The sequence below is a fragment of the Homo sapiens genome, chromosome 6, assembly GCF_000001405.40.
Source record: "Homo sapiens chromosome 6, GRCh38.p14 Primary Assembly".
NCBI lineage: Eukaryota > Metazoa > Chordata > Mammalia > Primates > Hominidae > Homo > Homo sapiens.
The window spans coordinates 108,925,748-108,940,608 of record NC_000006.12 but is presented as its reverse complement, the minus strand read 5'-3'; the positions used below and the strand labels follow the sequence as shown (position 1 = coordinate 108,940,608).

The window sequence follows — 14,861 nt, the reverse complement described above, 5'->3', positions numbered from 1 at the left end:
AGCTCCATCTTCCCTTCTCTTTGCTAGCCACATGTACAGTAAAGAGCAGGTAACATGGTGCTGGCCAAGCAAAAACACCATTTGTATAATAAGAAGATTAGGTTGGGGTGGCCACCTTCCCTGCGTGCTATGTAAACATCACACCTGGTCCAACCAATCTTTGGGCCCTCTGTAGATCAGATATTGCCTCCTCAAGCCTGTCTATTAATACCTGTGCATGGGCCAGAAGTTCCACTTGGGTGCCTCTCTCACGCGCAGGAGAGAGAGCTGTTCTCCTCTCTCTTTTGCCTATTAAACCTCCGCAGTTAACCTCACTCCATGTGTGTCCATGTCCTTGATTTCCGAGATAGAGTCTTCCTCTGTCACCCAGGCTGGAGTGCAGTGGCACGATCTCGGCTCACTGCAGCCTCTGCCTCCCAGGTTCAAGCGATTCTCCTGCCTCAGCCTCTTGAGTAGCTGGGACTACATGCTAATTTTAATAAGCTTGGTTATGAGGTTCCCTTGCTAATTGCAAACAAATAATTGCAAAAAAGCAGGTAAAGACTACCAAAGGTGGAGGTAGCAACCAATAGAAAAAGAAGAGAGAGAAAATCTACAAAGAAGATGCAGACATTTAAAGAACCTCATCAACAGACTCAGGCTTCACATGTGGGACAAACAGTCTCTACAGCAATAATTAATGCTTATAATAATGACCTTTGGTATCAAGAGGTTAAGTTAGTTTTAATATCTTCTAAGAAGGAAGAGAAACATGCAATATGTTTGAATATGATTTTTGCCACAATGATTAAGTTTAGTGATGAAAGTGATAACATGCATTTCTTTGATGGTTCTGAATAAGCATGTTACTGTACATGGTTTACAAGGTGCTCTCTATTCCTCTTTGGAAATTAAAATAATTTTAATAGGTATTTTAGTCTGTTCTTGCATTGCTACAAATAAATACTTGAGATTAGATAATTTATCAAGAAAAGAGATTGAATTGGCTCATGGTTCCGTAGGCTGTACAGGAAGCATGCTGCTGGCATCTGCTCAGCTTCTGGGGAGGCCTCAGGAAACTTTCAATCATGGCGGAAGGTGAAAGAGAAACAGGCACATCTTACATGCCAGAGCAGGAAGAAGAGAGAGAGCAGGGGGAGGTGCTACACACTTTTAAACAAGCAGATCTCAAGAAAACTCACTCACTACCACGAGAACAGCACCAGGGGGATGGTGCTAACCCATCCGTGAGAACTCCGCCCATGATCCAATCACCTCCCACCAGGCCCCACCTCCAATCCAGGGGATTACAATTCAACAGGAGATTTAGGCTGGGACAGAAATCCAAACCACATCAATAGGAACATAAAATTGTAATATACATCAACAGAGAAAAATGTGGTTTCTTAAACATGAGTTTTGCTTTTCAGATAACCATTGGTCTAACGTGAAAATTAGTTTAGTGAAAAGTATAGTAAAATTTTATGCCAATTTAAACTTTAGGATTTTTAGGCTGGGCGCAGTGGCTCACATCTGTAATCCCAGCACTTTGGGAGGCTGAAGTGGTAGGATTGCTTGAGCCCAAGAGCTCCAGGCCAGCCTGGGCAACATAGTGAGACCTCATCTTTATTTTAAAAAACAAAAAAAAACTTTAGGACATTTAGTTACTCAAACTAGAAAAAGCATACTCTTAGCCATACTGATATCTCTAGTCTCTCATATTGGTGAGGTACCAGGATTTTTGTTGGTTTATTCCATATGGCCATCATCTAAGCTCCAATCAGAGAAACAAAAGTATCTATTAGTAATGCTAGAAAACAATAGCACTATTTGTGAGTACTCAATTAATGAATTTTCTTCCTTAAAAAAATTATAGATTATAACATAACTTGAAATCAAACTGTTAAACAGAAGTATTTTCTTTTGTCCATATTTGAAAATTCTAATGGCAAGGCAAATAAATCTTCTCTAATTAAAGACACCTAAATCACCCAAGATCAAAGCACCAAAGCAAAAAAAAAAAAAAAAAAGGTAGTAATGGGAAAATAAAATTATAATTAAAATTCATAACATTAAATTATAAAATAAAATATATAAATAGATCTCTTTTGAGTATAACATGTAAAAGAATTCTTTTGGGCCAGGCACAGTGGCTCACACCTGTAATCCCAGCACATGGCAAAACCCTGTCTCTACCAAAAAAAAAAAAAAAAATTAGCCAGGTGTGGTGGCACATGCCTGTAATCCCTACTTGGGAGGCTAAAGCTGGGGTTAAATCTGACAAATTTAATAATTCTCAGCAGAAGTCTTTGGCTGGGTAAAGATAAGTTCAATGCTAGTCAGTAACAAACAGAGATTATGTTTTGGGGTGGTCTTAATATGGTTAACAAAACAAACACAAAGCTTCAGATTAAAATACTGTTAGTATATACATAAATTATTTGGTCCATAAACTCGCAAAACTTACTATAGGATGTTGAAAATTTACCACATTTAAAATGAATACTCATTGTATTCATGGACAAAATATCTCACTAAGTTGATGTCACTTTAATAACTTATGAAAGTGAATAAAAGTAGACTTTGCTTTAACGAATATTTAAAAACTTATAATAAAAATTAATGCCTGTGGCCGGGTGCAGTGGCTCACGCCTATAATCCCAGCACTTTGGGAGGGAGGCCAAGGTGGGCGGATCATGAGGTCAGGAGATCAAGACCATCCTGGCTAACACGGTGAAACCTCGTCTCTACTAAAAGTACAAAAACAAAATTAGCCAGGTGTGGTGGCACGCCTGTAGTCCCAGCTACTCGGGAGGCTGAGGGGGCAGAATGGCGTGAACCCAGGAGGTGGAGCTTGCAGTGAGCCAAGATATCGCCACTGCACTCCAGCCTGGGTGACAGAGTGAGACTCGTCTCAAAAAATAAAAAAATAAAAATAAAAATAATGTCTGTATGAAATATTATGATTTGATTAATGAGAAATCGTTTGTAAGTTCTTCCTTTTTTAAACAACTATATACATTTTTGCCTTGATTCATTAAAACTAAATTATTTCATTTAAACACTTTACCTGGAAATGTTACCTTTTAAATATAACAATGGGGTCAAAGAATTAGAGAACTTAAGGGCTAGAAGAATCTTCAGGGACTATCCAGTGCAGGGGAACTGCAAACCTTAATTTGCATCAGAAGTCCCTGTGGTTCTTGTTAAAATGCAGATGGCTAGGTAGGTCCTACCCTACCCATCTGACTCAGTAGACTGGAATGAAACCTGGAAGAAATAACCATTACGGAAATAACCCTTGGGGTGGGGTTATACCCCCTCCCCCACCCCAAGGTGACTCCCAGGTAGGTTTTCTACAGATCACTGGGAGGAAAAATATTGTTATAATCTACCACCTTCCTTCCTACACCAGGAAACTTCCTAGAACATCAACATTTCATTTCTGACTCATATAACTCCTTCAACTCCTATAGGTAACTTACTGCTTCCCAGGACAGCCCATTATACATTTAATGGAAGTTTCTTATAGAAACCTATATACTCAAAACATAAAGACATTTAACATGGGCTTACACAAACACATTAGTGTAAAGACTCATTGAAGAATTAAATGAATGAAGAACTGACCTGCTTCTTCTGGTATTTGTTAATTAGATTCAGAAATAAGGCATAACATCTGGAATAGCTGGCCAAGGCTGTGCAGCAGTCACGGTAAGAAGTAAGTTTGCTGCAGAAATGCCAAATGGGAAAATAAAGGTAAACTTTGTTTTTCTATAAAATTCAAGTACACATAGTATCACTTTAAATGCAGACCTTCAAAACATTGCCCAGTTCAAGAAAAGGAGTCTAAAAATACTCTACACATCAGTTCAGAGAAGCTGCAAGGAGGCTTCCTGCTCTACACTCTAGTGAGATGGATCCGGAAAAATTTAAAAGGTAACTTACATGTAGGTGTACACTACCCACGTAATTCAGAAAACACAAACTTACATGAAATTTATATGAAATCTGGTTGGATACCAGTGAGTCCCCTGAGACCACATCAGAAGCAAATGTAAAACTGCTTTAATAGGCCAGGCGTGGTGCCTCACGCCTGTAATCCCAGCACTTTGGGAGGCAAAGGCAGGTGGGTCACTTGAGGTCAGGAGCTCAAGACGAGCCTGGCCAACATAGTGAAACCCCATCTCTACAAAAATACAAAAATTAGCTGGGTATGGTGGCATGTGCCTGTAATCCCAGCTACTCTGGAGGCCCAGGCAGGAGAACTGCTTGAACTCAGGAGGCAGAGGTTGCAGTGAGCCAAGATTGAACCACTGCACTCCAGACTGGGCAATGGGGCGAGACTCTGCCTCAAAACAAACAAACAAACAAACAAACAAAAAACCTATACATTCAAAACAAACGAACAAAAACCTGCTTTAATATAGTAGATTGGTAGTGCTATACTAATATTAGGCAAAATAAACCAACCTTAAGGCAGAAAGCCTTGAAAACAGCTTCAAAATTTCTAAAGCAAGTAAGCAAGCAAGCAAACAAAACCCGTAAGGCAATATTGACAAACCCACAACAAATCAGGAGATGTTCATATATTTCTTCCTAATTGATGAATCAATAGGTAAAACATCATTAATATGTTAAAAACTTGACCACATACCAGGCCATAAATAAATCTCAGTAAATTTTCAGAGAACTGGTATCTCAAAGACCACATTCTCTGGTCAAAGTGCAATTAAATTAGAAATCATTTAAAAAATAAATTTAAAAAAACCTTTTTTTTGGAAATGTAAGAACACCTAACTTATAGGTCAAAGAAACATGAAAATTACAAAAGAAATACTTAAATACGAGTAATAAAAAATATTACAAATCAAAACTTGTAGGATGGGCCAGGCACAGTGGCTCACGCCTGTAACCCCAGCACTTTGGGAGGCCGAGGCAGGAGGATCACTTGAGGCCAGGAGTTCAAGACCAGCCTGGCTAACATGGCGAAACCCCGTCTCTACTAAAAAATACAAAAATTAGCTGGGTGTGGTGGTGCATGCTTGTAGTCTCAGCTACTCTGCAGGTTGAGGCAGGAGAATCGCTTGAACCTGGGAGGCGAAGGTTGCAGTGAGCCAAGATCACAACACTGCACTCCAGCCTGGGTGACAGAGTGAGACCTTGTCTCAAAAAAACAAAAAACAAAAAAACTTATAAATACTCATTTCCTCTAATTAGTATTTAGAGGAAAATTTATAGGTTTAAGGAGGCTGAAAAGAAAGGAGTCATGTTTTTTACTAAAATAGAAGAAAAATATGATATATTCACAGAGAGTTGAAGAAAAGGATTAATAAGGATAAGAGCAGAAGAAATAAGACAGGAAGCAAACATACAATAAAGTGGATCAATAATATATTTGTTCTTGGTAAAAGCTAATAAAATAGGAAAGATTTTGCAAGACTAAGAAAAAGAGAAACAGCACGAACAATCAAAATTAGGAAAGAAAGTCAATATTAACAATGAAGAGGCAAGGTAACACAGTGGTTCAAAGTATGAATTCTAGAGCCAGGATACGGTTTCAACTGCAGCTCTATGACATACTAGTTGTGTGATCTCGGGAAAATAACTAAACTTCTCTATGTCTCAGTTTCCTCATATGTAAAATGATAATGACAATAATAATACATATCTTAAAAAGTTGTTATGAGGATGAAAGGAATTCGTATTTGGAAAGTATTCTGAATATTGCCTAGCATGTTGTAAGTGCTATACAAATATCTGTTAAATAGGAAAAATAAATAAAAGGGGACATAATTAGAGATAAAACAGAGATTAGAATAATAATAAGAGAATAGTTGGAGCAACTTTTATATTGTTTGAAAACTTAGATAAAATTATCAAATTCCTACAAAAACATAACTTTTTGAAACTGAACCAAGTAGAAATGAGAAACATATAACCATATGGGAAGAAATTGAATCAGTAGTCAACAATATTCACACACACATACACACATATATACCCTGGATAAAAATAGCATTTTGAGCAAGTTTTTAAAACTTTTCAAGAAGCCGATCAGCTTTTTACAAATTCTTCTAGGAAAGAGAAAAAATTGGATTACCTCCCAACCCATTTTATGAGGCTGGTATAAACTTACACTAAACCCAGACAAGGACAATATGAGAAGAGAAAAATACAGGTCAATGTAACTCATGACCACCAATGACAAATCCTAAACAAAATATTAGTTAACCAAACCCAGCAATATATAATGGCTTAACTTGAGAAACTTTATTAGTGTAATTTACTATATTAACAGATTTAAATAAGAAAATGCATAATCAAAAGCAATTCAGGTAAATATGATTTATCACATACACACAACTGAAGACAAAAACCACAAGATTATCTCAATAGACACAGAAAAGGCTTTCAGTAAAATTCAACACTCCTTCATGGTAAAAACTCTCAATAAACTAGGTACTGATGCCAGGCGAGGTGGCTCACGCCTGTAATCCAGCACTTTGGGAGGCTGAGACGGGTGGATCACCTGAGGTCAGGAGTTTGAGACCTGCCTGGACAACATGGTAAAACTCCATCTCTACTAAAAATACAAAAATTAGCTGGGTGTGGTGGCACATGCCTGTAATCCCAGCTACTCTGGAGGCTGAGGCAGGAGAATCGCTTGAACCTGAGAGGCAGAGGTTGTAGTGAGCCAAGATCACGCCACTGCACTCCAGCCTGGGCGACAAAGCAAGACTCCGTCTCAAAAAACAAATCAAAACAAAACAAAAAACTAGGTATTGAAGGAACAGACCTCAAAATAATAAGTGCCATCTATGACAAACCCACAGCCAATATCATACTAAATGGGCAAAAGCTGGAAGCATTCCCCATGAAAACCAGCACAAGACAAGGATGCCCTATCTCACCATTCCTATGCAGCATAGTATTGGAAGTCCTAGCCAGAGCAATCAATCAAGAGGATGAAATAAAGGACATCCAAACAGAAAGGGAGGAAGTCAAACTATCTCTGTTTGCAGAAGGGTACTTATGAAAACCTACAACAAATATTATTTTCAGCTGGTGTAACCATGAAAATATTTCCTTTAGAGTCAGAAGAAAGACAACAGGCCCAACACTCACAGATGATTCTACATCTAGAAAACCCCACAGTCTCAGCCCAAAACCTCCTTCAGCTGAGAAACAACTTCAGCAGTTTCAGGATACAAAATCAATGTACAAAAATCACTAGCATTCCTATACACCAACAACAGCCAAGCAGAGAGCCGAATCAGAAAGGCCATTCCATTCACAATTGCCACAAAAAGAATAAGATACCTGAGAATACAGCTAACCAGGGAGGTGAAAGATCTCTACAATGAGAATTACAAAACACTACTCAAAAAAATCAGAGAAGACACAAACAAATGGGAAAACATCCCATGCTTATGGATAGGAAGAATTTGTACCATTAAAATGGCCATACTGACCAAAGCAATTTACAGATTCAATCCTATTCCTATCAAACTACCAATGACATTCTTCACAGAACTAGAAAAAAAAAAACTATTTTAAAATTTAACACGGAACTGAAAATGAGCTCAAATAGCCAAGGAATCTTATGCAAAAAGAACAAAGCTAGAGGCATCACATTGCCTAATTCAAACTTTACTACAGGGCTATGGTAACCAAAACAGCATGGTACTGGTACAAAAACAGGCACATGGACCAAGGGAACAGAACAGAGAGCCCAGAAATAAGGCTGCATACCTACAACCACATGATCTTCAACAAAGCTGACAAAAACAAGCAATGGAGGCCGGGCGCAGTGGCTCACGCCTGTAATCCCAGCACTTTGGGAGGCCGAGGCGGGCAGATCACGAGGTCAGGAGATCGAGACCATCCTGGCTAACACAGTGAAAACCCATCTCTACTAAAAATACAAAAAATTAGCCGGGCGTGGTGGTGGGCACCTATAGTCCCAGCTACTCGGGAGGCTGAGGCAGGAGAATGGTGTGAACCCGGGAGGCAGAGCTTGCAGTGAGCCGAGACCGCGCCACTGCCCTCCAGCCTGGGCGACAGAGCAAGACTCCGTCTCAACAAAAAAAAAAAAAAAAAAAAAAAAAAAGCAATGGAGAAAAGACTCACTGTTTAATAAATAATCACGGGGTAACAGGCTAGCCATATGCAGAAGACTGAAGCTGGACCCCTTCCTTTCACTATATACAAAAATCAACTCAAGATGGATGATGGATTAAAGACTAAATGTAAAACCCAAAACTATGAAGACCCTGGAAGGTAACCTAGGCAATACTATCCTGGACATAGGAACGGGCAAAGATTTCATGACAAAGACACTAAAAGCAAATGCAACAAAAGCAAAAATTGACAAATGGGATCTAATTAAATTTAAGAGCTCTACACAGCAAAAGAAACTATCAACAGAGTAAACAGACAACCTACAGAATTGGAGAAAATATTTGCAAACTATGCATCTGTCAAAGGTTTAATATCCAGGACATATAAGGAACTTAAACAAATTTACAAGAGAAAAACAACCCCACCAAAAAGTGGGCAAAGGGCCAGGTGCGGTGGCTCACGCCTATAATCCCAGCACTTTGGGAGGCTGAGGCGGGCAGATCACCTGAGGTCGGGAGTTCAAGACCAGCCTGACCAACATGGAGAAACCCCGTCTCTACTAAAAATACAAAGAATTAGCTGGGTATGGTGGTGCATGCCTGTAATCCCAGCTACTTGGGAGGCTGAGGCAGGATAATTGCTTGAACCTGGGAGGCAGAGGTTATGGTGAGCCGAGATCATGCCATTGCACTCCAGCCTTGGCAACAAGAACGAAACTCCATCTCAAAAAAAAAAAAGTGGGCAAAGAACATGAACAAACACTTTTCAAAAGAAGACACACATGTGGCCAATAAGCATATGGAAAAAAAGCTCAGTATCATAGAGAAATACAAATACATTAGAGAAATACAAATCAAAGCCACAATGAGATACCATCTCACACCAGTCAGAATGGCTATTATTAAAAAGTCAAAAAATAACAGATGCTGGCAAGGTTGCAGAAAAAAGAGAACACTCATACACTGTTGGTAGGAGTATAAATTAGTTCAATCATTGTGTAAAGCAGTATAGTGATTCCACAATGAGCTAAAAGCAGAACTACCATTTAACCCAGCAATCCTATTACTGGGTATATACCCAGAGGAAAATAAATCATTCTACAATAAAGATACATGCACGCTAATGTTCATTGCAGCACTACTCACAATAGCAAAGACATGGAATCAACCTAAGTGCCCATCATTGACAGATTGGATAAAGAAAATGTGGTACCTATACACCATGGAATACTATGCAGCTATAAAAAAGAATGAGATCAAGTCTTATGCGTGAACATGGATGGACCTGGAGGCCATTAGCTCAGCAAACTAGCGCAGGAAAATAAAACCAAATACCACATGTTCTCACTTATAAGTGGGAGCTAAATGATGAGAACTTATAAACACAAAGAAGAAAACAACAGATGTTGGGGTCTACTTGAGGGTGGAGGGTGGGAGGAGGGAGGGGAGCAGAAAAGATAACTCTTTTGACTATTGGATACTGGGCTTAATTCCTGGGTGATTAAATAATCTGTACAACAAACTCCCGTGACATGAGTTTACCTATGTAACAAACCTGCACATGTACCTCTGAACCTAAAATAAAAGTTAAAAAAAAAAAAAAGGGGGTGGGGGCCGGGTGCGGTGGCTCACGCCTGTAATCCCAGCACTTTGGGAGGCCAAGGCAGGGGGATCACGAGGTCAGGATATCGAGACCATCCTGGCTAACACAGTGAAACCCCGTCTCTACTAAAAATACAAAAAATTAGCTGGGCGTGGTGTGGGTGCCTGTAGTCCCAGCTACTTGTGAGGCTGAGGCAGGAGAATGGCATGAACCTGGGAGGCGAAGCTTGCAGTGAGCCGAGATCACCCCACTGCACTCCAGCCTGGGCGACAGAGTAAGACTCCAACTCAAAAAAAAAAAAAAAAAAAAAAGATTCAGGGCAAGCATTTGACAAAACTTAATACCCACTAATGAGAAAAAAAATCATTAATCTTCTAAAGGGTAGTTAGGAAAACCTACAACAAATATTATTTTCAACTAGTGAAACCATGAAAATATTTCCTTTAAAGTCAGAAGAAAGACAACAGGCTCAACACTCACAATTTTGTATTGAACTCCTAAACAATGCAATAAAGAAGAGATGAGGACAGGGGAAAGAATTACAATAATTGAAAAAAAAATTATATGTAGATAATATGCATAGAAAATTCAAGAGCATCTATAGACAAACTCCTAGTCCTAATGTTCATCAAGATTCTTGGATATCCTTCCTGTAGGAGACAGCTAAAATACATAAATAAATAAGTAAATATTTTTAAAGAGCTATCAATGCAAGATTAATAAGTTCATAAGGAAGGGAAAAGAACAAGAAGAGTTTGGATTCTTTTTTTTTTTTTTAGATAGGGTCTTGCTCTGTTGCCCAGGCTGGAGTGCAAGTGGCACTATCTTGGCTTACTGCAACCTCCACCTTCCAGACTCAAGCAATCTTTCCACCTCAGCCTCTCAAGTAGCTGGGACTACAGTCACATACCACCATGCCTGGCTAATTTTTTGGCAGGGGTTGGGGGTGGGGGGCAGCGCTAGAGATGGGATTTCGCCATGTTGCCCAGGCTGATCTCAGATTCTTGGGCTTAAGTGATCCACCCACCTTGGCCTCCCAAAGTTCTGGGATTACAGGTGTGAGCCACTGTGCCTGACCAAGAGTTTGGATCTTAAAGGAGAAAAAAAGTGAGAGATTTGAAGGCCAGGCAGAGTGGCTCACACCTCTAATCGCAGCACTTTGGGAAGCTGAGGCAGGAGGATCACTTGAGCCCAAGAGTTTGAGACCAGCCGGGGCAACATAGCAAGACTTCGTTTCCACAAATAATAATGATAAAATTAGCTGAGCATGTTGGCGTGCACCTGTGGTCCCAGCTGCTAGGGAGGCTGAGGTGGGAGGATCGATCGTTTAAGCCTGGGCAGTCGAGGCTGTAGTAAGCCATGTTTGTGCCCACTGCACTCCAGCCTGGGTGACAAAGCGAGACCCCATCTCAACAACAAAAAGTGAAGGATTCATCTTATAGCAAAACTCAAATTAAATCTGTAATAGTAAGTACAGTGTGGTACAGGTCTGAGGATAAACCAAACAGAATGCCCAGAAACAAACCTGAAATTATATGGAACTTTCTGTCTGATTGACAAAATCAGTGAGAAAGGATGGCATAGTCAGTAAAAGGTGCTGGAACAATCAACTATCCACATGGGAAAAATATGAAGTTGGACCCCTACATGACACTATAAACAAAAATAAATTCCTTATGATTCTACAATGCATTAGATAGGTAGTAATTAGGTATCCAGAACAAAGCTCAGGGAAGTGCAGTATAAAAAGATCAGATCTGGAGGGAAGGAGGGGGCTGGGGCTGAAGAACCACCTGTTGGGTACTATGCTTACTGCCTGGGTAACATGATTGTCGAGACCCCAAGCCTCCACGTCATACAATTTACCCACGTAACAAACCTGTGTACCATTTAATCTATAATACAAGTTGACATTCATTTAAAAAAAAATCAGATTTGGACTCACATCCTTATACAGGGGTCCTGGGGTCAAGTACCAATTCAGTCTTCAGGAAATTTTGCATTTCTTTACAACTACAACATTATAGTTCAAGAAAAGCCTCAGGCTCCCGAGAAGAATCATTATGTAAAAATACTGACAAAGAGCAGCGCGGGAGGAAACAGAAATGCATAATTCAAAGACAGTTCTGAAATTTAACAACATCTTGCTTGGAGGCAACCTGGATTCAAATGATCATTATTTCTGGAAGAAATAAAGTAAGTGTAGACTTGACTAGTGAAAGCTTGAGCCAAAGTTCAAATAGCTGAAATAGAATAACCTTCTATTACAAAGTCACATCAGACTTTCTAAGCATTGATCCCCTTTTTTGAGTTAAAACTCTTGTTTATTTCCTAGCAAACTGGAAGGTTTGCTGTGTTTTGTATACAGTTTTTTATCTCAAATAAGCTGAGAGGAAGATTAAACACACACACGTAGCTCACAACTCACCAAAGAACTAAAATGACTTAACAACCAATGAGTTTAGAATCACAATAGAATCATATAGACAATGGGTTCATTTGTTTGAATTGTTCATTTTTAACTTGGGCCACTAGATTTACCCTTTCTGGTAGGCGAAGTAAAAAGAAGGAAAAGGATTCCTTGCCAGTCACACAAGCAAATATTAAAGATAACCCCAAATCTAAGCATTAGCATTTTTGTAAGGCTACTTCACGTCTTAGTCTACCTACCTGAATATTCTGGCAATATTGGTACAGACGTCCTTGTCACCCTTGTACTGTTCCATTGCCGTGCAGAGCTGGGGAAGGGCACTGATGTTTAGGAACTTACTTCTTACTAATGATGAATCAACCAAGTTTCTCAATGTAGCAGTCACCTAGGATAAAAGCATGCTTGTGCCATTTTTTTTGAACTGAAAAAATATAACCACACGAAACAGCATAGTACAATTCATTTCATAAATTTCCTTATATCAGTAGCTAAGCAAAGCTCCCGCTATGCATCTCCCACCAGGGAATGTGAGCCTAGGCACAAGTAGCAACAAATGAAAACAAAGAAAGCCTAATTTGGTTGAAAGGTAAAGAATGAAATATTAATCTTAGTAAGCAATTGGTATACCCCAAACCCAGGGTTAAACAAACCATCATCTAGGTTTGCTAACACTCCTAAGATCTTCAGCTGGCCCTGTGATAGCCACATCAGTTCTGCAGATTAGAAACTTCTTGTTCTATGTTTTTCTTTCTTTTTTTTTTTTAATTTTATAGGTATTCTTGTCTGATTGTTCTATGCTTTTATAAATAGCATCAGATAATGAATGATGTGGCCAAGGAATATTTAAGATCTTTAGTCTCATTCTCTCCCAAGAGACAAGTATTAAGATCTCACAAATTTGTCTTATTTTATTAAAAAAAAAATTCAGGAAAGCTATCTACTTTACCTTCGTCAAAGAGTCAAGAAGAGAAGAGTTTAGTAAATCATAAAACTAATGTTGTTATCTAATAATTTTAATATGCAGTGTGCTCCTTCCTTGTGGGACACTACAGGAAAGCTACTGGTTAAGAGCCAGTTCAGCCTCACCACCCATCAGCCTGGGTTAGTTATTTAACCTCCCAGAGCTCATTTTTCTCATTCAATAAAGTAGAGGTGATGATACTTCCCTAGCAGTTGTGAGGATTCTATGAGATAAGATGTGTGAATGGCATCGCTGCCATCATCTCTTCCTAGTGAAGTGCCCAGGGGCAGCCACTCCTTCCTCCACTTCCCCATTTCCTCATCTGTGAAAAGCAGATGACAAGCACTGCTCACCTCTCGGGGGGTTGTGTGTAGCAAATGGAAACATGTAGCACTGTTTTTATTACTTATCTAATACTGTAAAGCATCATGTAAACATAAAGCATCCTTACAGCCATAGTATATAAACTTTTAAAAACAATTTTTAAGATGACATGATTAGTTTTTCCTTATAACAACAGCAACAAAAAGATACATTAAAATATAACTGACTACCCTGAAAACACAGAAAATGTAAAAAAAAAAAAAAAAGCTTCAAATAAATGTGTACATGTCTTTTGTAATCAATTCAATTATACAATGATTCTGTAAATTCTTCCCTGAAAGTTTCAGTATCCCAAACATTGGAAGTGAAACAAACTACTTGAGTATTCCACTTAACTCCATAGATCTAAACAATGTCACAATGTAGTCTTCTTCTAAGCTAAGGAATGGACTTTTTTTTTTTGGAGACAGAGTCTCTCTTTGTCATCCAGGCTGGAGTTCAGTGACAGGATCTCAGCTCACTGCAACCTCTGCCTCCCCCATTCAAGCAATTGTCGTGCCTCAGCCTCCCAAGTAGCTGGAATTACAGGTGCGTGCCACCATGTCTGGCTAATTTTTGTATTTTTAGTAAAGACAAGGTTTCGCCATGTTGGCCAGGCTGGTCTCAAACTCCTGGCCTCAAGTGATCCAAGCACCTCAGCCTCCCAAAGCGCTGGGATTACAGGGGTGAGCCACTGCGCCCAGCCAGGAATAGATCTTTTGTGAAGACTAATGAACCATTCTAGGAATTCCATTGCTGTCATAAAATGGAAAATTCTCATCATCTGACCCCGTTTCCACCTGTTCTCCTGAGACAGCCCAGGCACCGGAGCACTACTGGTTTACATTAATTCAGAGGATGCCTCAAAACTCTCTTCCATGGAGACGGAAGAGTACAGATGCCTGTGTAACTCCCATGCAGACAGACATCATGGGAAACCATGAAATACCCATTCCAGTCACTGCACACCAACAGTTCCTTTTCCCTGGTCCCCAAGGCATCAAAGATGGGACATCCCAATCCATAGTCATCTTCACGCTCCCCACATCTAAGCTCTGGCAAGGGACATTGCCAGCAGAAAGGACCATAGTTTCCTTAGGAGCTTTTATTTTCTTGTTTCAATCTCAATTTTTTCTCCTTCTCAGGCCTTATTCTCACCTCATTAGCAAAAGTTTAGACAGCTCAAGTTTCTTCTGCCCCACATACATAACTTTCATAAATAACCCAAGTCAGGAGAGAAAGCCCACATTTATATGTGACATGTCATTTGATTGAAATTCCTACCCATTTACTGCACGTGATACACACAGTTGAGTAATATACAATACCTCACGTATTTCCAAATTTGTCATTTGTGGTGCTGGTAGAAATAACATGCATGAAACATATACCATACATTTG

General features: G+C 39.4%; 1 protein-coding gene across 18 annotated transcripts in view; it reads right to left on the bottom strand.

The window, feature by feature from the left end:
- The window catches only part of ARMC2 (armadillo repeat containing 2), a 204,619-nt gene that overhangs the window by 112,432 nt on the left and 77,326 nt on the right, over positions 1–14,861 (bottom strand). For 16 of the 18 annotated variants that reach the window (XR_007059340.1, XR_007059341.1, XM_047419396.1 and 13 more), the window contains 2 exons: positions 12,376–12,521; positions 3,610–3,709 (listed from right to left, as the gene is read on the bottom strand). Coding sequence is in view for 15 of the 18 variants with exons in the window: in XM_047419396.1 (XP_047275352.1) it covers positions 3,610–3,709; positions 12,376–12,521 (246 nt within the window). In the remaining 3 variants the exon portion in view is untranslated. Of the gene's footprint in view, positions 1–3,609; positions 3,710–12,375; positions 12,522–14,861 lie in introns of those variants that run through there. The other 2 variants (XM_011536176.3, XR_942600.1) reach the window with 2 other exon arrangements.